Below are 24,315 nucleotides of genomic sequence, written 5' to 3' on the forward strand. Positions count from 1 at the left end.
TCAATAAATCTTTGTGGAATGAATGAATGCATAAATAGCTTTATGATTTGGATGTTTTTAAATTATTAATTTATTTTCAAATCATACTCAGTTTGAGTTCAAATAGTTCAAAAATCAATATAATGCTTCAGGATGCTTCCAGCTATTGAAACAACCCAATTAAAAAATATACAACTCACACTTTATTTTAGTTAAATTCATAATGTAGGTAATATTAAAAATTATTATAAACATTTAATAATGCTTTATAATTTGCTATTATAGTACACCACTACAGACACATAAAAAGTTGACTTATCTAATTAAAACATTTTCCCTTCCTATGTTTCTAATTCTGAAAACTATAAAAATATTAAAGTCATGTTACATATTTTTCAAAAATAAAACTGCCATATCCCATTGCCAACTTTACATGAAAAAGGTATATGTTCTGGTATATTAGGAAGTTAATGATGAAAAATATAGGTTCAGAATTTTAATTTGGTGTATTTGAATATGAAAACACAAATGACACAAATGGTTTAAGTCTTCATTAAAACAAGCTTCACATTTCTCTGAATGCATATTTTGCAGAAGGATGAACTGCTAGCCAACATACAATAAATATATCAATTGTTTACATTCCCAAATTTTGAAAATACTGGGTGAAAAATCTAGAAAGACAGTGTTAAAGGAGCATAATTAAATGAACCTTAGACCTTTTATCATTGAAAATTAAGATCCTAATTTTAGTTACTGCTTGGCTGTGGTATGGGAAAGTCTGAACTATTCATGCAAAATAGAATAATTTTTTATTTTCCATTTTATACATAGCTGCTATCCAAATGATCTTTTTTGAAAAATGAAAAATTATTAGCTATTATTTGTGATTCAATTTCTAGCAATGGCCATCATAGTATGGTCTTTTACATCATGTGAAAATACTTGTTGCTTTTGGTGACTACAGTTTCATGGATGGGAATTCAAGATAGACTCATAACAGAACAAATTCCAAGTTACAGTACATTGTGTTAAAGTAAGGCTCCACTGTATTTTGGACATGTAATAAACAAGCTACAGCTTTTTTTTTCATATTTACTGGAAAAAAAACAATTATATAAACTTTCTACCTTGGTCTCACTGGATGCACATCTCCTCAGAAAACATCTCTTATATAAACTATTGATAACTTAGCTTTCAGTTTTAAGTAATTATTTGGTAGTATTACCACTCTCTATTTTATGGCTTTTTAAACATTAAGTCCTTAAATATTTGAAAAGTGTTCACTATATTCTGATAGTTCATGAAAAAAAGATGTGAACATCAGCCTGGAAAACATATATAAAGCCTTAAAAATCAGTGTTTTAAAAGAGTATTCAATAATAGAAAATCAAGAGTAGAGAGGTAAAAGTAAAAACTCATCAAAAAATTCCATACATGATCCCCTTCAGAAAATGAATCTATAGTCTTGCTTCTTTGTCAAGAGTTGAGGGTGCAGGTAGGAGATCACCAAAAAGCTCTGCTGAAGTTTAGATACATTAGCAACTAAGTTTTTTTTTCCCCCACTTTCAAAATAACCCTTCAAACAACCCATTTTTATAAGTCCAGGGTTATAAAAACAATAAATGGGATATTAAAGTTCCCTCTTAAAATATCTTGGCCAGTTCACTGTATAGATTTAAAATAAAATGAACGCTTGTTTAAGGACTTATATGAAAAAAATGTTGGGCATTTCCAAATGTAAAGATGAACTATATATATATTTAATAACATTACATACAATTAATATAAAGGCTAGAAGGCATAAGTAGCTCAATATCTAAACAAGTTTTCCCAGGCAAATCACATGATTTCACATAATTTTTCTTTTTTTTTTTTTTTTGAGACGCAGTCTCGCTCTGTCGCCCAGGCTGGAGTGCAATGGCGTGATCTCGGCTCACTGCAAACTCCGCCTCCCAGGTTCAAGCGATTCTCGTGCCTCGCCTCCAAAGTAGCTGGGATTACAGGAGCCCGCCACCACGCCTGGCTAATTTTTGTATTTTTAGCAGATACAGGGTTTCACCATGTTAGCCAGGCTGGTCTAGAACTCCTGACCTCAGGTGATCATCTGCCTTGGCCTCCCAGAGTGCTGGGATTACAGGCATGAGGTGTGCCCGGGCAGATTTCACATAATTTTAATGATCAAATTACCCAATCAGTAAACCACAAAATCCTACTTAGGAAAAGGGTCTATAATATTTATTTTGAATATGGAACCATAGTTCTTTTTCCCTAGGTTGAGAAAACTTGAGCAAAATTAGTTTTATTTAGGCCTGTGGTTTAAAAATATTGAGATACAAGAGTTTTTTTTTTTTTTTGAGATGGAGTCTCGCTCTGTCGCCCAGGCTGGAGTGCAGTGATGTGATCTCGGCTCACTGTAACCTCCGCCTCCCGGGTTCAAGCGATTCTCCTGCCTCAGCCTCCCAAGTAGCTGAGATTACAGGCGAGTGCCACCACGCCCAGCCAATTTTTGTATTTTAGTAGAGATGGGGTTTTACCATGTTGGTCAGGCTGGTCTCAAACTCCTGACCTCGTGATCTGCCCACCTCGGCCTCCCAAAGTGCTGGGATTACAGGTGTGAGCCACTGCGCCCGGATGAAATACAAGAGATTTTTAAAGAAGTTTTCAAACTATTCAGGTTACAGACACAAATTTATAGAATTAAGGAGATTTATAGTGTACATCAAAGTTCATAGCTTATTTATTTGCAATTTTGTGGTTCGTAAACTAATGAAGAATTATACTAAATGACCTATATAGTCTCTTTTAGCTATAAACTTTCAATTATATTATTCTGCTTTAAAATAATTAAGACCATATCTCAAAGTTGTTTAAGTAGATAATGTCGGCCCTGAATTAAGGATTTTTTTTTCATCCCCTTTCTGGCTTTTAGTCCTTCCTAGTCAGTTATTAATGGGGAATAAATATTACACATTTTACTCAACTGATTCTTAATTCCTAGCTCTATTGCCCCCTCCTCTCTCCAGAGCCCACAGTATCCCAACATATGGTAAATACTCAATACTTATTGAGGATTCTTGAATGAGTAGCAATATATACTATGGATGGATCAATAATTTAAAAGAATCTGGATGGAGGTGACAGTAGTTGCTTTTATAAAACCCCCAAACAATAATTTCAAAGCTTCTAGTCTCCTTTCAGATTTACTTTGGTTTGTCTTTATAAGTAATAAAAAGACAGAATATGGCACAAGAATACAAGGTTAAATTATTACAGCTAAACTATAAGCAAGGACACATAAAAAAAAATTTAAGTTTCCATTCATGTATTGAAGAGTGAATTTTATTTACACTACTAGTAAATCCCAGCTACTCCAGTTACTCTGATATATCTCATCAATGACAGGAAAAATATCTTCTTCCAGTATTTCAGTTTTAACAATTGTAATTAAATTGCTTGGTTATAATAAGAGTTAAGAAGCAATTAATGAATTTTTTTTGGAAATAAAAAATATGTATATACATTACCCTGATACCTAGGCCAAAATATATCTAACAACAAATTTTCTTGATTTATATTAGTCATAAAAATAAAGGAAAAATATATTGCAAGTATTTTCTTTATAGACAATTTCAATTAGAAAACAATAGTTTAAGGAAAGCAATACAGAGGTTCATGAGAATGGATTGATATGGAGGCAAGATAAGTATTTAAAACTTGACAGACAACATACTGTCAAATATGACGAAAGAATATCTGCCTCAATGACACCATTTACAGGCAGTAACTAGATTTTTACACATCTCAATTTTCTCTCATATTGAAGGAAATTACAGGTAAGTTATGCTCCTAAGTCAGTTAAGAACCCCTTCTTTTAGCTTGTAAAATGTAGCCTTTTGATTTGATAATTCCTCTACTTTTCACAATGACCGAATACCGCAGTAGCCACAGCGGCACCCACTCGTGCGCTTGAATGTCAGGAATGCTTTCCTGAAGAGCTTCTTGGAAACTTGCTTCAGAAAGCAGTTCTAAAAGAAACAACAACAAACAAAACTCCAGCGTGTTAAATTGGAAAACAAAAAAGCACTTTAGTATGTAGGTAAGCATTTAACATAACAAAAGAAACACCTCAACATTTAATATATAATATGCTTATTCTTCATGTGTGTGCTATGAATCTGAACCAGAATATTAGAAATTCCCAGGCAGTTATTTAAAAAGTATCTACACCTGTACCCCAGCCTATTTAATTCTTAACTTTTGGTGAGTGGAGCCTAGACATCTGCAGTTTTTTAAAGATCTCCAGGTGATTCTAATGTATAGTCAGGGAAAATACAGGAAAGTCTAAAGAAAAAAAAAGTAACTGATAATCCTATCAATTGGAGATGATATAACATTGTCATGCATTTCCTTACAACTTTTTTGGTGTATATGAGTATATATCTTCATATATATATATATATCTTCATCCATATCTTGAATCTCTATATATCTCTAGATCTTATATCTGTATGTGTGTGTGTATATCCATATCTTACAAAATTAGAAATCACACTGTAGTTAAAGCCTTATTTGCTTATCTTTTTCCACTTATATTGTGAATATTTTCCCATGTAATAGTCTGTGAAAAGATCATTTTTAATAATTTCCCCATTACTATATTACATAGATATCATAATTCATATATTTCCTTATTATTGGTCAAAACATTTATGTTTTTCCTAATATTTTGCTAATAAGAATAATGCCAGGATAAACATTCTTTTTTTAAAAAATATATATATATATATTTTTTTTTGAGATGGCATCTCACTCTGTTGCCCAGGCTGGAGTGCAATGGTGTGATCTTGGCCCACTGCAACCTCCACCTCCCGGGTTCAAGCAATTCTTCTGCCTCAGCCTCCCAAGTAACTGGGATTACAGGCATGCACCACCATGCCTGGCTAATTTTATATTTTAGTAGAGATGGGGTTTCACCATGTTGGTCAGGCTGGTCTCGAACTCCTGACCTCAGGTGATCCACCCACCTTGGCCTCCTAAAGTGCTAGGATTACAGGTGTGAGCCACCGTGCCCGGCCTCGAAAAATATTTTCAAACCAAAAGCGGTTTATTACACACACAAAAAGTTGTGTGATGGTAGGACAGAAGGACTATATATATATTATAACCATATTAATTACAGTACATTAAAATGGTGGTTTGCATTACAAATAAGTCTGTAAGTTTAAATATACTAGTGTTATTATCCAATGTATAGACTTTATATAATACATTTATCAGGAATGCCAAAAAAAGCCATATACACATAAATAATGCCCATTTTACAGGTGACATTTTAAAAATGAAAACACCAATGGCTCTGATGACACTTGGGGCATTGATCCATAAAAACCCTTTCTAAAAATAGAAATATTTGTACCAGCAATGCTTTCTTTAAGCATTTGAATACTTAAATCATTGCAAGACCATTTAAATAAATTTTCATTATCAACTATGTCTTACAAAAAAAAAGTCTACACATAAATTTATCTCCAAATATGGAAGAAACAAACCGTCACAATGATGCAGATGATGAACATTTTAAAATGCATGCCTGGCTGTGGAATGAAGGGCCAAAGTACAAGTACATTCTTAAAGCTAGATACACGCTATATTGCCAACTGCTTTACAGAAAGGCTATACTTTACACTTCTACCAGCAGTTGATAATTTGAGAGTGCCGCAGTGCCAATTCTTTTTTTCTTTTCTATTTTTTTTTTTTTTTGAGGCAATGTCTTACTCTGTTGCCCAGGCTGGAGTGCAGTGGCATGATCACAGCTCACTGCAGCCTCAAACTTCTGGGCTCAATGCATCCTTCCACCTCATTCTCCTGAGTAGCTAGGACTAGAGGTGTGCGTCACCAAGGCCAGCTAATTTAATTATTATTATTATTATTTTTGTAGATATGAGGTCTTACTATGTTGCTTAGGCTGGTCTCAAACTCCTGGACTCAAGTGATCCCCTGCCTTGGCCTCCCAAAGTGCTGGGATTACAGGTGTGAGCCACCATGCCCAGCAAATTCCAAGTTTATATCCAAGCTCTCTATGACTGCTCTGATGCCATATCCCACCACTCCTCTCCTCACTGCCTCACTCCTCTGGCCACACTGGCCTCACCTCCTTGCTGTATCCTGAAAACCTCAAGCACATTCACACCTTGGAGCCTCTGAATTAGCTTCTGCCTTTTCCTTGAACACACTTTTTCCAGATATTCACATGGCTCACTCCCTTCCTGCAGGTCTCTGATTAACATTCCCTTAGTAGAGAGGCCTCTCTGACTGTACCATATAAAACAACAATTAACTTGGATACTCTTTCTCCTTCAGCCAAGTTATCTCCATAGCATATACTACCACTTATCATATGTAACATTTATTTTATTGTCTGTCTCCTCCCATTAGAATATAAATTCCATGAGGGTTGGTTTTTGTCTGACTTGATCCTTTATCTCTAGTACCCAGAACAATGGCTGGCAAATGGTGCTCAAACGTCTATTAAATGCATCAATCAATATGGAAAGATTCCACTGGGGTCAGAAGCAACCTACAGATAGGGATTAAGTGAGCATCTTCACAGTTTGATTTCGGAGTGCTAAAGGACCCACCTACTCCCAAACTGCTGTGATACCTGAATAGCATTAACAGTAAACGCTCAATCAATGTTAGCTATTTTCATGTGCGAGGTACTTTTCTGAGTACTTTACATGTATTAACTCAGTTAATCCACATGCTAACCCTATGAGATAGATTCTATTATCTCTTTATGGGGGGAAACCAAGGCAGAGAGGTTCGGTAAGTTGGCCAAGGTCACACCACTAGTAAATGGTAGTTTTCATATATAGAACACAAATGTCTCCTTGGAAAAGTAACATTAATATGGATTTGTTTATCAGATTTTCTAACAGAGAAGACCCTGAGGGAAAGAGACATAATACAGATTGGATTTAATCGAAATGGGGGGCGGGGAACAAATAAAAATGGAAAGTTCTAAATTCAGGATCATCTACTTTACAATTTTACTCTCTAGTTAAATTGTTATTACACTTCTAGAACAAAGGGTAATGGAAAATAAACCCATTATGGGGAGTAAGGGTAATTTTTAGAACAGGGGTAGACCTTCAGGGAATTTATAAACAAAATTCTATTTTAGATGACAAGCAGAGTTAAATGTTTTACAGTTTTACAGAGTTAAATTTTACAGAGTTAAATGTTTTACAGTTTTTTCAGTTTGGTTGCTTAAAAAAATAAAAAATATGACACAAAATCAGAGACTATGCTATTCATTTAACTGCTTTTAAAATTTAATTATGGTTGAACTCTTTAGTCAGTAAACATGACAAATTAAATCGAGAGTTGCTTCATTATAGATTAAAGTGTCTGAAGGTTCATTAATGATAAATGCAGGATAAGCCTATACATTTTCACCAAAAGTCTTAGAATTAAAAAAGACAACTAAGTATCAAATTATGTAATACAAAAAATATAAAAAAGGATTAAATCTCTCTCCTCATATACATATGCAATATATTTTGCCATAACAATAATGTATTAGCACACATTCTAAATGTCAACATTTAGATATGTGAAAATAAAACACTAGGAACCTTAATCTTTTCCTACTTCCTTTCCTACTAGTAAAAGGATTGAGTTTTTTTCAAGTGAAGCTAGAAGAGGGTACAGGCTGGATCATCAGCTGTTGGTAACAATTACTGTTAGAAGAGCCTCCAAAAAGTAAACAGACACATGACATCTGCCAACATATGGAAAGTTAAAATTTAAATGACTTATAGTTCAGAATAAATCAGCATAACAATTTGTTAGATTTTCACTAAAATGGCTTAAAAAATCAATTTACTTGATTGTGAAAGCTCTACTGGGAAGGCAAAAGTCACTGTATTTTATTCTGGTATGATTTAAATGAAAATGGATGAAGTTTTCAGACTGTAATACTGTAATACTAATGTTTCAAATCAAAGAGATTGTATAGTGGAAAAGGCTCCAAAATAATCCAAGACTTAGGCCAAGTTCAAACTTTGCCCAAAGCCAGCTGGGTGACCTTGGCTAGTTCCTTTCACTCTGAGGCTCTATTTCCTGACAAAAAAAATGTATAGTTTCCGTTGTTGTGAGGATTATAGATAATCTCTCTGAGGCATTTGGCATGATGCTTGGCATTCAAGGAAAAATAACTATTAAAACTCTTTCTCCTCCATCTCCCCCTCCTCTGATGAAACAGTGAAGAAATGAGAATGAAGTAGACTGCTAATAAATAGTATAAAGTCTTAATAGATTATCCATAGCATTCTTAAAATGAGCAAACTGAATCAACCCACTGATATTGTGTCATCTTTTTAGGTATGGAAATAAAAGCTGAATATTTTTTCGGCGGGAATTATCTATGAAATATAATTTCCTCTAATATTTATTAAATCAGAACTTCTATAAAAATGTCATCGAGAATTAAAACTTTCACAAGACATTTCTCACTTATAACCAAACATTTCTCATTTATACCAAAAATATGTAGTAATATACATTACTTAATAATATACAGGCTCTCTGAAACATTTATCTTTGCAAGTTATGTTCAATATTATCTTCCAAGTCTTTCTAGTTATCTTACAAAATGTTGTAAAAAATTATTCTATAAAAGGCAGACAAGCCATTCTCATTAATCAAATATTTCTGATTAACACTAAACGTCTTAATAAAATACCTACTTACCTATCCTAAGATGCTTATTAAGTTTTGAATTAAATTACATGTGCCACTTTTTCCAGATATTTATCTCCTTGAATAAAGTAGCCTTTTGTCCAGGCACAGTGGCTCATGCCTAAAATCCCAGCACCTTGGGAGGCCGAGGTGGGGGAATTGCTTGAGTCCAGAAATTCAAGCCCAGCCTGGGTGACATGGTGAAACCCTGTCTCTGCAAAAAATAGAAAAATTAGCTAAGTGTGGTGGTATGCGCCTGTAGTCCCAGCTACTCGGAAGGCTGAGGCAGGAGGAGAGCTTGAGTCCGGGAGGTGGAGACTGCAGTCAGGTTGAGATCATGCTACTGCACTCCAGCCTGGGCGACAGAACAAGACTCCATCTCAAAACTAAAAAAATCAAGTGGCCTTTTGGTCCAGTCTTTGCTATACTAGATAGGATTATATATATTACTATTTAGAATGTCTCAAAAGATCTTTTCTGTGTAGTTTAATATTTGTGAACCTCAAAAGACCAGATGTTCAGGAAATGATCCCTTCACTTTTTTTTCCCCATTGGTACAGAGATAAAGTTTTCTGAAAATAAAATGAGGGCATATAGGTTTTGAACTAACCATTAAGAATAGTTCAGATAACACTGTATTTTTATCACTGTCCACATTTAAAATTATGTATCAACAAATACCTTTTTGTAAGACAAAAGCTTATGATCAATCTCTATAATGAAAATATCAGTTTTACCTTTTGGATCATTGTGAGTCAACAGCTGTATGTCAAATTGTTTAGCAAATGCAGTCAAATCTGGTGGCATCACACAGCAGGAGGCAAGATTAACTTGGTTACTATTTGGTTTTACCTAGAAGTGAAAATAAAATCATGATATCACTACTAAATTAAATATAATACCAAAAGTAGAAAGCAATAAGCAATAAAATAACTTAATTTTAGAACATATGAAAAATCACAATCCACAGTGATTAAAGTTTACAAAATACTTTTACATTAATATCTTTATTAATATATGCTTTTCTAACCCAGGTTAGTAGTAATAGGGAATAGGAATTCCCTATTACCTTTTCCCTATGTAATAGGGAAAGGAAGTGTAACACTAGGGGAACGAAAAAGCCAACAGTACTACACTTTTTTTTTTTTTTTTTTTTGAGATGGAGTCTTGCTCTGTCGCCCAGGCTGGAGTACAGTGGCGTGATCTTGGCTCACTGCAACCTCCACATACCAGGTGCAAGCAATTCTCCTGCCTCAGCCTCCCAAGTAGCTGGGATTACAGGTGCCTGCCACCATGCCCAGCTAATTTTTTGTATTTTTAGTAGAGACGCGGTTTCACCATGTTGGTCAGGCTGGTCTTGAACTCCTGACCTCAGGTGATCTACCCACCTCGGCCTCCCAAAGTGCTGGGCTTACAGGCATGAGCCACCATGCCCAGCCTGGTACTACACTATTAAAAAGTCTCCTGCTAGAACCATTTAACAATCTAATACATCTGCCTAGAACACAAACATGATTTTTGTTAGTTTGTTAAGTGTGATGGTTTCAGCTACAGAGCAAATAGTTCTTAAAGGTAAAGGATCAAATACAAGTAAATACCTTTAATGTTAAAGTATAAAATATGGCTATGAATCAGACACATTTTGAAAGAGAAGAATTGACAGCTTCCAGTAGCTACACTGGTTAATTTACATTCTGAATCATCTAAGTCTCTCCAATACTTTCTTGTCCTCATTCTGGCTATCATCAAGGAGAAGGGGAAATACTTTCTCTAGGTCTTCCTGTCCATAAGAAACTCTGAAAGCTCTGAAAAGGAGAAGGCTGAAGAAGAAGTAAAAGGAATAAAGAAATACTGAGAGTAAAGGTAAAACGCTAGTAAGTGACTTTCCTAATAATTTTGTAGGTTATTAGACCAGAGAGTGGGAATAATTAATTTATGACACTCACTCCATATCAAGTTGTATGAACTGACAGTCTTACACATCTTTGAATAACAGCAAAATATCTGTTATATATAAAATATTCCCTTACTTAGGAAATTAGAGCCATGGTCTAATAGTACCTAAAGAAAAAGAAGGTTTTTCTTTCTTTTTTTTTTTTTTTTTGAGACAGAGTCTTGCTCTGTCACCCAGGCTGGAGTACAGTGGCGCAATCTCAGCTCACTGCAACCTCCGCCTCTGAGGTTCAAGTGATTCTCCTGCCTCACCCTCCTGAGTAGCTGGGATTACAGGTGCACGCCACCATGCCTGGCTAATTTTTTTATTTTTAGTAGAGACAGGGTTTCACCATGTTGGTCAGGCTGGTCTCGAACTCCTGACCTCATGATCTGCTCGCCTCGGCCTCCCAAAGTGCTGGGATTACAGATGTGAGCCACCACACCCGGCCGTAAGGTTTTTCTTTAGGTATTATTGTTTTCAGCACATAAGTAGAACTGAAGGAAATGGCCTTAATTCATTTGGTATAAATGTTTTAACACACATCTTCTAGTATTTTTGTCACTCATTTTAACCAGGATTAACATTCAGTTCAATCAGAGATATATTTAAATAAAAACAAACAAAAACCTCAAATGATTTAGATAAAACCTGCCTCAAAACTCCTGCAGAAACAAAACAAAACTCCCACATGTGGAAAAGTCACCCCGCAGGGGTGGCCACTATGTGCATGATGCTCAACAGTGTGCAGCAAAGACTGAAAAGGGCAAGTTCTTCCTGGAGTGCTCATGATCCTGCCATCCCTCACCTGTGCCCACTGATACAGCTGTTCCAACTGTGTTTTGTCTAGATCAGAGGTACCTATGGCAACAATCTTTTTGCTCTGAACTAAGTTTTCTAATTCCTCCCAGTAAGGCTGTAAATGCTCCAAGGAAAGATTAACTCCATCTTCAATAGGAGGTGAAGCAATGATCACAGAATCCAGCTGTGCAACTCCAAGGACTGAACAGGCTGATAGGAAGGAAGACACAAAGAAAATAAATGCTTACATCATAAAAACAAATATTTCTAATGTTTTCAAAGTATCCCACTGAATTCTGTCCATATTCTTCACTTGTTTTCAAAATAACAGATTATTTCATAGTTTACTTTTCATTTAGAACATTTCTATCTTTCAAAAATGTGTAAGTGCCCATTTACCTACTTGCTCTGTGTGGCAGACAAGTGGGTTTCTCTGACCTGCCTTATTCCTAGGCAGCTTGCAGCTACTACTACATGCTCCTCTTTCTAGGGAACAAAATTTCTTCTTGTTTCCTAGGTCCCAGAAGTTTTTAGTAGCTCCCTTATCTTCATAAAATTTTCTTCTCCAGTTCTACTTGCTCACTACTATCGCATATGGATGATCACAAGAATTATGACCTAATATTCTGTAACTAGTAGTCACAGCAAAGAATAAGCTTGAGACACTGAAAAACTGAATGTTTGGTCTTAATCCATATTTATAGAGGTAGATAATTTCTTAATTCTATAAAAATAATTTAAGAGCTTATTTTAAATGATTATTCATTCTAAAGTTACATTAAAGAGCCAATTATTTAAGTTTTCAATATATGTAAATACTGGAATAATTTTTTATTTAAGTATTGAATAACTTTAATATCACAATAACCTAAGTGCTAAAAACAGATATACTTGGATTTTTTTTGGATTTTTTTTTTTTTGCCGTTGTTTGGTTTTGATATTTCACCTCTAGTACTAAAAGGGCTAAGAATAAGAACTTCTATCTCCAAACGGATAGTGAACATTTAAGTACATTACACCTTTTACATTCCTCTTGCATATCAAAATATGACCCTACATAAGTCAGTATGATTTTACAGAAGCCTTAAGAAACTAAGCTAGAACTTTAAAAGGTAAAATTGGAATCAACTCATTTTCTTTTTACCTGGACCTAAGCACAAGTTATAACTAATACACCTATACTAATTTAAAGTCCACTATTAAGATAAAAAATTCAGTTTTTGCTTACCCATGTCAACTGCACTTCTAGTTGATGATGAAGAGTTTGATTCTACAATGAACAGTTTTGCTGGGTAACAAAGAAAACAAAACTGATTACTACATTTGGATACACATTTCACTATATGCTAGTATTAACACTACTATAATACTAAGATGTCAGATAATCCTGAATGAATTATTTTTCCTTTCCCAGTCACATAACTTTATAGTTTTAATTTTAAGACATAAATGTATAGTTCCACTATACTTTTAAAATCATGTGCTAGTTGCCAACAAATATATGTTTATCAAAACAAAAAGTAAATATTTATTTCCCATTTATTAGAAGGCAGGTTAGATAACTATTGGAGCTTAAATTACTTGAAATTTATATTTTTATGACTTAAACATTAATAGAGCACATTATATATTCTCCAATAAACCAAAATCTATATACAAAGACTAAATTGAAAATGTAATGAGAAGAAAACTGAAAAAAAAAAAAAAAAAAAAAAAAAAGGCCACAATTCTACCTTCCCAATACAATCATTTTCATTTTCAGACACTATCTTCCAGTTTTTGGTCATATGAAGTAGGGCATAACATTATTTCCTCTTCTATTTGGTTTACCTTTATGTAATAAATATTTAAAATATATGTCTATGTAGTATTTAGTTATCTTAAAATTTCTTTACTTTTAAAAATTTTTTGTAGAGACAGGGTCTCATTATACTGCCCAGGCTGGCCTTGAACTCTTGGCCTCAAAGGACCCTCCCGCTTCGGCTTCCCAAAGTGCTGTGATTACAGGTGTGAATCACCACAATTTTTTTTTTTGAGACAGGGTCTCACTTTCATCCAGGCTGGAGTGCAGTGGTGCGATCACGGCTCACTGCAGCATCAACCTTCTGAGCTCAAGTGTTCCTTTCACCTCAGCCTCCCAAGTAGCTAGGACTACAGGCATGTACCAATACACCTGGCTAATTTTCATTTTTTTGTAGACACAGGGTCTCGATATGTTGCCCAGGGGCTCTTGAACTCCCGGTCTCAAACAATCTTCCCAAGGTGCTAGGATTACAGCACCACACCAGGCCAAGATTTTTTTTATCCTAATAGTCATGTGCTTACTGTAGAAATAACGAAGACCTATAAAAGCAGAAAGACCAAAAAGAATTGCCAGTCTCATCACCCAAATTACTGTTTAGATTTCTGTGTATTCTGTGGCTTTTTTTCCACTTAGGGGTGGCCTTGAACGTATTCTATGTTTTTAGTGTATAATTTTACATACTTTTTTTTTTTGAGACAGAGTCTCACTCTGTCGCCCAGTGGTGCCATCTTGGTTCATTGCAACCTCCTCCTGGGTTCAAGCAATTCTCATGCCTCAGCCACCCAAGTAGCTGGGATTATAGGCCTGCGCCACCATGCCTGGCTAATTTTTGTATTTTTAGTAGAGACGGGGTTTTGCCATGTTGTCCAGGCTGGTCTCGAACTCCTGGCCTCAAGTGATCCACCCGACTCGCCTCCCAAAGTGCTGGGATTACAGGCGTGAGCCACTGCGCCCAGCCAATTTTACATGCTCATTTTTTAATGGTTGAATATTATTTTGTAAATTTTGAAGAGTGTCATTTATTAAATGAGTTCTACTTATTGAACATTTAGGTTAGTAAATGTTCCAGTACTAGTTCCAGTTTTCTGTTTTCGCATATATAATGCCAAAACAAACATCTTAGTAACTTTTTATTCAGCATTATACTATATAATTTCCCAGGGATGAATTGTTAGAAATGTTATTATGAGTCAAAGCATGTGACGTTTTGTGTGAGTCTTATTATATTTTAAAAGATGTGTGCCAGTTTACCACACCACCACCAATTAACAATTGCTCTTCTAACAACATAGGATGCTATTATTAATTTTTTTTTAAAACTTAGTAGGTACAATGCATACCTACCCAAGACCACATTAATTGTCATTTCTTTGGTTACTAGGAAAGTTGAGTCATTTTCTATATTTGTAATATTGAGGTTTTGGTTTCATTCAAATTCAACTTTATATGTACATATTTACTTTATGTAAACTCACTGTTCAAAAAAATAAATGTATTCAATAGACAAACAGGTAGAGTAGCAGAAGAGCAACAAAAAAAATCAAAAGAGGAAATGGAGAAAAATAAGGCTAATGAAATACCCTTACATAAAGTGCTGACATTCGATATATGCAACACATTTTCTTCTACGTTTCTTATATGAGTCCCTTCCTTCCTACTGCTAGGTGATCTCCCTAAAAACACTGCTTCCCTGAGATTACTCCCTATTGAACAGCCATCCTAGCTTCTCTACTAGATGAGAGTCAGTATTTACTATTTTGGTCTAACTTTAGCCCCTATAACTCTATGAAAGCCCCCCCCAATACTATTTCTCTGTCCATGAATTTGTGCCATCTGAAATGGCCTCTTCTCTCTGAAGGATGAGGCTTTTTTGGATAGGTAGAAAGAGGAAAGCTCTTTATATGGGGAGAATTTTGATACCTATAAAAAAATCTCAAGCCCTCTAGGAACTGAGGACTTCTAAGAGACCCAAGATGGAACTAAATCATGAATTACAGTCAACCTCAGAAAGAATGTTGCTTTACGTCCTTTCCAACACAAACAGCAATGTGAAATTAACAGGAAAAAATGGGTTTTGGAGTTAGGCATACCTGAGTGGATTCCTGGTTCAACCACTTACTGGTTGTATGACAACCTTCAAGTTATTTAGTATCACTAATGCAATGCAGTAACAGACTTAACTTGCAGGATTGTCTTGAGAATTAAATGAGAAAATATAACCATAAAGTACCAAGCACAGTGCCTGGCACAAAGCAAGACTCAATAAATGGTAGTTACTATAATTAGATTAAAAAGAGACAATACCCTATCTCATCTTACATGTAATTTATTATTATTATCCATCTCAATAATAATAAAATAGCAACAACCACAATAATAACAACATGGTAGCAAATAATAGCTACCTAGAACTTACTTTGAGGCAAACACTGTGCTAAGTGCTTCTTTTGTTATTTCATCCAGTTTACAAAGAAGCCGGAGAAACAGGTACATCCCCATTTTATAGAAGAGAAAACTGAGACTCAGGGAGGTTAAAGTCTTTGTTAGCCCAACATTATACTAGCCTGTAATCTGCACACCCCGAAACTTCAAAGCTCAAGCTTTTAATGACTATGCTATGCTAATTGTAAGGTGAGGGCAGAGATGGCGCATCTTTTCATTTTTGTATTCCTTGAGTATAGTACAGTTTCTGGAATTTGTCACTTACTACATTTCCTGAATGGGTGTTACAGTATTTTCTTTCTCTTCATGTAACTTGCCCAGGTTTCTTTTTATATTCCCAGGTGACCTCACACATTGCTTACCAGTATCTTACCAGGAAGGGGGTGCTTATGCTTGCTTTGGGTGGATGCTGCTTCTAAGCCTTCCCTTTATCCTTTCCATCTCCTTCATCTTAATCTTTCTACTGCTCTGAAGTTTGACACATAAATTACATGACATGATGACATCATCATGAAGAACAGCAAGTTGAAGTTCTATTCTGACTCTTATATAATAGCCAGCACTGACCTCTTATAACTCCATCTTGGAGTTTAAGTAAAATTATGCTAAAAAAGAATTTCTGTATTTCCCACATTTAGTGTCTGAGCAAAGAAAGGCTTATTCTAATGCCTAACAAAATCTATCGCTTCCGCTATGTAACAAAATAAACAGAAAAGACTGGACTTTACCAGAAACTTTCATTTCTTCTCTTTCATCAGGATTTATCTTTTCTACTGCATGAGATACAGTGCATTCCAAGACATCTGGAAACTCCTATAATAAACACAATATTTAAAACAAATATAAAATTTAATGCTTCTGATTAATTATAAAATTTTCTATTATCCATAATGCCTTTTAGAATCAGAGAACCTATAAGACAACAGAGTTCTCTACCTGAGGTCTGGGTGGGCTTCACAAGGGTTGTAAAGCTCTGAAATAAAGGTAAAGTGGGGTGTGTGTGTGTGTTTGTGTGTGTGTATCTATTTTCTAGGAAAATGTATCTCATTTTGACCAGGTATTTAGAAAGAAGCATGATCAAAAAAATTAAAAATAAACAAGCAGTGGAGGGATATGTGAGGAGTTAGAAACAGTAGCACAGCAGATAATTTTACTCTAAAAAGAAACCAATGAAAATAATATCCACTCTAGATGACATAATAAACACGTTCTACATTAATTACAAGCATTTTCTTTTACTTTTTAATTTATTTGGATTTTAATGTTATTTGAACTTTAACCTGTAAGGGGATTTAGTTTTTGGGTTTTTTTGTTTGTTTGTTTTGTTTTGTTTTGTTTTGAGACAGAGTCTCGCTCTGTCGCCCAGGCTGGAGTGCAGTGGCACGATCTCGGCTCACTGCAAGCTCTGCCTCCCGGGTTCACGCCATTCCTCCTGCCTCAGTGTCCCGAGTAGCTGGGACTACAGGTGCACGCCGCCACGCCTGACTAATTTTTTGTATTTTTAGTAGAGACAGGGTTTCACCGTGTTAGCCAGGATGGTCTCGATCTCCTGACCTTGTGATCCGCCCACCTCGGCCTCCCAAAGTGCTGGGATTACAGGCATGAGCCACCGCGCCCAGCCTGTTTTTTTTTTTTTAAATATACTTTTTTTTTAGAGCAGTTTTAGGTTCACAAGAATATCAAGTAGAAGGTAGATTGAACAGATTTCTCATTCACTCCCTACACTCACATCCACACAGCCTCCCCCATTATCAACATACCCACCACAGTGGTATACATTTGTTACACTTGATGAACCTACATTGACATGTCATAATCACCCAAGTCCAGTTTATCTTAGGGTTTACTCTTGGTGCTGCATAGTTTATGGATTTAGAAAACCATATAATAACATGTATCCACCATTACAATATCATATGCAGTAGTTTCATTGACATACAAATCCTGTGCTCTGCCTATTCATCCCTCCGTCCCTGCTAACCCCTGGCAACAACTGATCTTTTTACTAGTTTTTTTTACTAGACTAGCAAAACTATAGTCTACATAGTTTTGTTTTTTCCAGAATATCAAATAGTTGATATCATACATTATGTAGCTTTTTCAGATTGGCTTCTTTTACTTAGAAATATGCATTCAAGTTTCCTCTATGTCTTTTCATGGCTTGATAGCTCATTTCTTTTAAGCACTGAATAATATTATATTGTCTGGATAGTTTATATATGCATTCATAATTTATATATACACTCGCCTACTGAAGAACATCTTGGTTGCTTCAAATTTTAGCAATTATGAATGGAGCTGCTATAAATATCCATGCATAGGTCTGTGTGTGGAAATAAGTTCTTAGCTTCTTTGGGTAGATACTAAGGAGCATAATTGCTGATTTTATGACAATAGTATATTTAGTTTTATAATCACAAGCATTTTATTCTTATTTATTTATTTATTTAATTTTATTATTATTATTTTTTTGAGACAGAGTCTCACTCTCTTGCTCAGGCTAGAGTGCAGTGGTGTGATCTCAGCTCACTGCAACCTCTGCCTCCCAGGTTCAAGTGATTCTCCTGCCTCAGCCTCCCGAGTAGCTGGGATTACAGGCGGGTACCACCACGCCTGGCTTTTTTTTTTTTTTTGTATTTTTAGTAGACATGGGGTTTCGCCATGTTGGCCAGACTGGTCTCAAACTCCTGACCTCAGGTGATCTACCTGCTTTAGCCTCCCAAAGTGCTGGGATTATAGGCGTGAGCCACTGCGCCCAGCCTGTAATCACAAGCATTGTAAACCAAAACTTTTTTTTTCCTGAGTGCAGCAGAAAAAAGCAAAGGCTATTTGAATGTATTTTAATGAATAATTTACAAGGATAATGAGAAAATATTAGTACATATAAATCAGATACATATTAACTTACATTTACAATATCATACAAAGTAAACGGCAAAGGCTTTCCCATGATTCTTGAGCACTTTCACAGCACGTATCAGGGGTTCAGTAAGTGTTTACAAGTCAAGCATAAGTAGAATAAACAGTCATTTCAGAGAAACAGAGATTGATTTAAAAAAAACCATAACTCAATGTCTATATAGTAGCTATAGAGTTACATGGTTGCAGTATGCCCAGGGGAACCAGTATTTCCAGCACATGTCCTTTTCCATACTTTTAAAGTAGCCTAAGTAATGTGCTGTGAGCCTTTGACTGAGTTGGATTTCAAAATGTGTTTTAGGGTTTTGAACATTAACATTTATGATAGTAGCCATATACTGACATTTAGTGGAACACAGTTCCTTATTGTTTCATCAGAAACTGACATTTGAAAAATTACTTCTAGTGATGTTGAGTCTACTAAAGCAATCTACCAATCACAATTGATAATCATTCCTCTCCTAGACCAAATATAAACTGAAATAAAACACTGATAGTGAGGAAACCATGGTGAGAATTAAGCATGAGAATCCTAGTATCTTGTCTGGTTAAAGAGTTGCCTACGGTCTAGATTTTCTGTTTTATGCATAAGCCTACTGGATCAGAGTGCCGTCTCAGCAAATCAACCACAGAGAGTTTATGGCTAATTGCCTATTTGACTTCCCTCACAAAACTGAAGAAATTAACTTCCTGTTTACTTTACTTCCTTTTTGACCTGCATGATTTTTGCATTCACATTTCACTTACCCTGACCAAATCTGGGTTGATTTGGGAACTCCATTCATTCAAGGTTTTTTGGATACAATCATGAAGCTGCAAAAGGAATGCATTTTGAAACTGTTAATCAAAGTCTATATACTTTTCTGTACTTCTACAATAAGAATATATTAATTTGATAAGCAGGAAAAAAAAGATAGCAACAGGAAATACCATACAAACCCCAATTTTAATCCTACAAGGTTTTTGTTTCCTTCAACATACATAAATTCAGGCCTGTTTTCATCCTACTCTTGTTTCTCAAATGTTCTTGAACTAAAGAAGTTGTCTAATTACTTTAAAGCTTTTTTTGTACCAGTGAAAATTTAAGCTAACTGTTGAGACACAAAAGCATTCATAGGCCAGGTATAGTGGCTCATGCCTGTAATCCCAGCACTTTGGGAGGCTGAGGGGGGCAAATCACTTGAGGTCAGGAGTTCAAGACCAGCCTGGCCAACATGGTGAAACCCTGTCTCTACTAAAAATACAAAAATCATGTGGGCCTAGTAGTGCAAGCCTGTAGTAGCTACTCGGGTGGCTGAGGCAGGACAATTTTGCTTGAACCCAGGAGGTGGAGGTTATAGTGTGCTGAGATGATGCCATTTCATTCCAGCCTGGGCAACAGAGCAAGACTCTATTTCCAAAAAAAAAAAAAAAAAAAGGCATTCATAAAGAAACAAAAATAAGGTTTATAAACAAAGGAACTTGGAGTCAAGCCCAGGCTGTCTGACTAGAATTCATATCACAACTATGCTACATTTCTCAAAGACAAACAAATTAAATTATTAGAGAATAAGTGTGGCTGGTAAATCCTACCTCAGATTCACCTGTGCTGTTTATTAAAATTTCAGACTCCTGAGCCTAATCCTAGACCCACTGAATCATTCTCCAAGAGCAGTTTGGACTTTCATTTTAACAAGCATCCTAAGGAGAGTACTTTATCTACGTACTCTAAAGTCTGAGAACCACCAGGATAGACATATCTTGCAGAACTCAACTTGTATGACACTCCAGAAGTCATTTCGTAACATTTAGGTGCACCTCTAACCTATCTTCCATGTTTTCTTAGATAAACAAAAAAAAATTTATACAAATATTATAGTATGTTGTAAATTAATTCAAACATACTTTATTAAAGTGTATTTCAGACTTATTTGATAGTAGTCCAAAGTAAGACATACATTCACATAGTGAGCAAAGACCTATATACATATAATGGAACAAAACAGTCATAAAGCGGTATTTATGCTCACAACATGCCAGGCACTCTAATGGCTTCCAATATATTAATTAGAAAAAATATACTGGTCCATGACTCACTGAACTGATTTATGACCACTAATGGGCCAAACCTGGCAATCTGAAATCACTGCCTTATTAGATAACCAAGGACACAGTGTTTTGCATTCTTCTGTGGGCAATCAATGAAAACACAAATGAGTAACTAGAGGCAAGCCCCTGAATTGCAAAAGCACTTTCCTAATAGAAACAGCAGACACTAAACTTCTGAACTATCTGAACTATGACTGCTTATGATAAAAACTGATACAATCACTTTACTACGTATATCTTAGTACACATGATTACAAGAGATAACTGGTTTATCAATTTAAGGGCACAGAACTACCTATGTTAAGATTTACAATCCATAATAATAATTTACATGCTAGTCACAACAATTCACTTGAATTCAAATTATAAGGTCTAGATCTTTATGTAAAGCATATTTATAATCAAATTTAAGTCAGTGGATGAAAAGGAGTTGATAATCATTCCAGATACAATTATAAGTCATAGTATTTTCTTAAAAATTAGTAAAAATGGAAGGAGCAGAACCAACTAGAGGTTAAAAATTCTATCGGAAGTGCTTTGGCTCAAATCGTGGGATAATTCTAAGAAATTTCCCTCTGGAAGGATGGCTCATTTGCACACTTGAGGCTTTCCTGATGAATTCCTCAATTCAGGAAGGTAAGTCTATTTTTATAGTATTCACCCTCTTCTTGAAACCATTTCTTTAATTAATCTTGGATTCTGCAAAATGTCAGGACAAATAATAAAACAGTCTAATGTTACAATTACGTAGGAAATTCATTGACTTTATCACAAGCCTAATTATTTTTAATCTTGTAAATTACATGTTTGCTATATTGACTAAACATTAACCTTGTACTTGGGTTAATGTTTGTCATTAACATTAATGTTTATGTTTGTTCTCCGCTCTCTTCATTCTTATAATACACACCCAATATCACTGAGTATAAGCATCACCACAACTTAGCCTACCATTAGATCTGGAGTTGTATAAGAATTTTTTAAATACCATGATTCAACCGGTCAAACACCCTTACAACAAAGAACTGGGCAAAACAGTCCTATAATGGTCCACTTACAAACTATTTGATTTCATAAAATTCCAGTGAGACAAAAAATCTGGGCAGAGGTCATAACATTTTTTAAAAAATTAGAACTAGAAGAGACCTTGTAAGAAATTTAACTGAACTCTTGACCCAACACGTACATTTTCTCAAAAATAAGTGATTTGTTCAGTTTACTTAATTTCTTCAGTGAAGCGGAACTGTTCCAAGTAGTACATCCCAATTTGGAGCTCTGGGTGTTACAAAGTTCTTTTACATAGAAACAAAATGTGCCTCCCCTTTTGCTCTTACCAAGCAGTCATAGTTTCCCTACAGTATGATGCCATTCCTTCAAGTTTTCCTGAAATGTTTTCTAGTTTCTTTAGTTTTATCCTACTGTTATGAAGCACCCTAAATAAAACACTAGAAACCAGAATTAGTCCTTTGAACAATGTTTTACAAACTGTGGTGTGTGACTCTGAGCATCAAGAAATCAACATTTTAAAAATTAAAATAAAAGAAAAAATCAGAATATACGGTATAAGGGCTAATATCTTTTTGTGAAACCTGTTTCAGATATACTGATTATACAACTATTAACTGGATTGCAAAGTAAAATGTACTTCTTACTGTGTTTGCAGTCAGAAACTCTTTTGAGTCACTACTTTAGAGTATGCTATTGTGAGATAGGTAAAATTTCACCCAATAATATCAATATACGTGCAAAATTCTGTATTGAACTACCACCAACAGTACTGGAAGAAATTAAGAGTCTATGTACCGAATACAGAAATATTTATCTGTGGGAGAAACAGCCAAAGTAGGTGGTTTAAATAAAACAAAACATACACACTGAGCTGGAACGTGAACACAGAATATGGTACAGACTCAGATTCCTACTAAAGTTACAAGCAAGAGTTCTCATCTCTTGATGGGCACTGACCCCAACAACAGGCCTGGGCACAGGTCCAGCACTTAACTCAGAGGGATGCCGTGTGCTGCTGCATGGTCTGTTACCAACATCTCATAGAAGAGAGCAGAAACCACTTAGGAACACAGCTGATTTAGGAAGGTTTTTCTAAACACACATAGTTTAGGAAGGTTTTTCTCTTAATTAAGATTTATCTTTCTGATGGAACCAGATGACAGGGAGATAGATGCCTGCATGGTGAGCGTTTTCATATATTACCTCTTAATTCTCACAACAACCTGATGAGGAAGGTGTTATTATCCAACTTTAAAGTAATTTTCCAAAGTCATATAGCTCCTAAATCTAAAGATTTTGTTATTTTTTAAATACTAAAATTGTCCCATACCACCAATATGCACAATGTGCAGTGGATGACTATCCGCTCAGAAATGGCCAACAAATAGGTAACAAGTTTGTAATTCCAGATTAATCTCTGTCACCTCCAACTAGTGACTAGTCTTTTTATTTTCCAGTTTTTACAAAACTTTAATTTTTGAATTGATAGATTATATTTGTACATATTTATGGGGCACATGTGATATTCTGTTACATGCATAGAATGTACAATGATATTGTTACATGCATAGAATGTGTACTGATAAAGCATACATAGACGCACAGATAAGTGCATAAAATGTGTAATGACTAAAGTCAGGGTATTTAGGGTATTCCAAAGCCAAAATTGAGTGCTTACTCATTTGCCTCACTGCAATAGAGAGTCTAATGTCAACATTCTAAAAGTTAGGTGTACTATGAATACTACTTCATCTGAATGCACCAAAGGATAATCTCCGAAAATATTCCTTTACCTGGACAGGGTGGGGGAAGGAAGCGAGAGATGTGGAGAGAGACGGAGCGACGTCCTGGCCCTCTGTGACCTCCGTGCCAGGAAGAGGGACCCAGGATGTTTGAGAGTTTTGCTACCAGCCTTAAGCACCGAGAGAGGTGTCACTCAGTGCGCAGCTGCACCGGCTAAGTTTTTTAGACGCGTTGCCCTCGGCAGCGGGTTTGGACCCAAGGTCGCGTCGACACTGGCCTCAGCATCTGACCGCGGGCGGAGCCCAGGTGCGCGCGAGGCCCTGCCACCCTCCCTCGCCCGCGGGCGCTTCTCCCTTGCCGGAACCGCCCGGCCCCGCCCGAGGCCTGCCCCGGGAGCCCCGCGGCGAGTGTCGCCACGCTCACCTCCTCGCTGTGCGTGGACGGGCACTTCTTCCGCAGGCGGCCCCAGTTCAGCAGGTTCCCCGTCTGCAGGTGCAGGGTGCGGGCCCGCGCCAGGAGCGCCTTGGCCGCGCGGCTGTCGGTGCCCATGGCAGCGGCCGCCCAGGGGCCGCGCAGCGAAGGGGCTGCGGGCGGGCGGGCAGGCAGGCGGCCGCCCCACAGGACGCGGTGCCCGAGGCCCGAGAGAGACCCGAGAGGGAGCGCGAGGCTGCCGGCGCCGCGCGGCTGGAGCCTGGTCTGCGCTCGGGCCCGAGGGAGGCCGGACGGCGGCTGGGCGGCGGCGGGAAAGGAAGGCACCGGTGGCTGCGGCTCCGGCTCCGGCTACTGCGGCCGCAGCGGGAGAGCTGATTCCAAACTGAGGGAGCTGTTTCCTGGAAGACAATGACTAAGCAGA

At 36.4% G+C, this 24,315-nt stretch overlaps 1 protein-coding gene across 4 annotated transcripts, besides 3 other annotated features; it reads right to left on the bottom strand.

Annotated features, from left to right (window-relative positions):
- On the bottom strand, positions 47-24,278 carry GCLM (glutamate-cysteine ligase modifier subunit). Of its 4 annotated transcripts, none has more exons than NM_002061.4 (7): positions 23,886-24,278; positions 19,371-19,436; positions 16,433-16,517; positions 12,687-12,746; positions 11,466-11,668; positions 9,462-9,576; positions 47-4,007 (listed from the first exon to the last, which is right to left on the bottom strand). In NM_002061.4, exons 1-7 carry the CDS (start codon positions 24,009-24,011, stop codon positions 3,838-3,840), a joined length of 825 nt encoding a protein of 274 aa, NP_002052.1. In that variant the 5' UTR covers positions 24,012-24,278; the 3' UTR covers positions 47-3,837. The 4 variants fall into 4 exon arrangements, with proteins under 4 accessions (NP_002052.1, XP_011539563.1, NP_001295182.1 ...); XM_011541261.3 differs by lacking the exon at positions 23,886-24,278 and adding an exon at positions 23,513-23,770; XM_047418031.1 differs by lacking the exon at positions 47-4,007 and adding an exon at positions 8,737-8,938.
- Positions 5,769-5,917: a silencer, noted in NCBI's record as "fragment chr1:94356477-94356625 (GRCh37/hg19 assembly coordinates)". NCBI's record gives its function as "represses an EF-1alpha promoter that drives an FKBP-Casp9 reporter gene in an ReSE screen in K562 erythroleukemia cells {active_cell/tissue: K562}" and the evidence as "EXISTENCE:reporter gene assay evidence [ECO:0000049][PMID:32094911]".
- Positions 23,692-23,741: a silencer, noted in NCBI's record as "silent region_1089". NCBI's record gives its function as "represses an Ori minimal core promoter by ATAC-STARR-seq in GM12878 lymphoblastoid cells {active_cell/tissue: GM12878}" and the evidence as "EXISTENCE:reporter gene assay evidence [ECO:0000049][PMID:35858748]".
- Positions 23,792-24,151: a silencer, noted in NCBI's record as "silent region_1090". NCBI's record gives its function as "represses an Ori minimal core promoter by ATAC-STARR-seq in GM12878 lymphoblastoid cells {active_cell/tissue: GM12878}" and the evidence as "EXISTENCE:reporter gene assay evidence [ECO:0000049][PMID:35858748]".

This window comes from Homo sapiens, chromosome 1 (assembly GCF_000001405.40).
Source record: "Homo sapiens chromosome 1, GRCh38.p14 Primary Assembly".
In the NCBI taxonomy this organism is placed as follows: Eukaryota; Metazoa; Chordata; class Mammalia; order Primates; family Hominidae; genus Homo; species Homo sapiens.

What these genes read in the sequence shown, in the direction of transcription:
- GCLM (XM_047418031.1), bottom strand. Translation starts at nt 24,011, where the DNA reads ATGGGCACCGACAGCCGCGCGGCCAAGGCGCTCCTGGCGCGGGCCCGC. An exon ending in TCAACCCAGATTTGGTCAGG is followed by an intron (nt 16,518 to 19,370) that starts GTAAGTGAAATG and finishes TGTTTATTATAG; the next exon opens with GAGTTTCCAGATGTCTTGGA. An exon ending in AGCTGTATCAGTGGGCACAG is followed by an intron (nt 9,577 to 11,465) that starts GTGAGGGATGGC and finishes TTTCACTTCTAG; the next exon opens with GTAAAACCAAATAGTAACCA.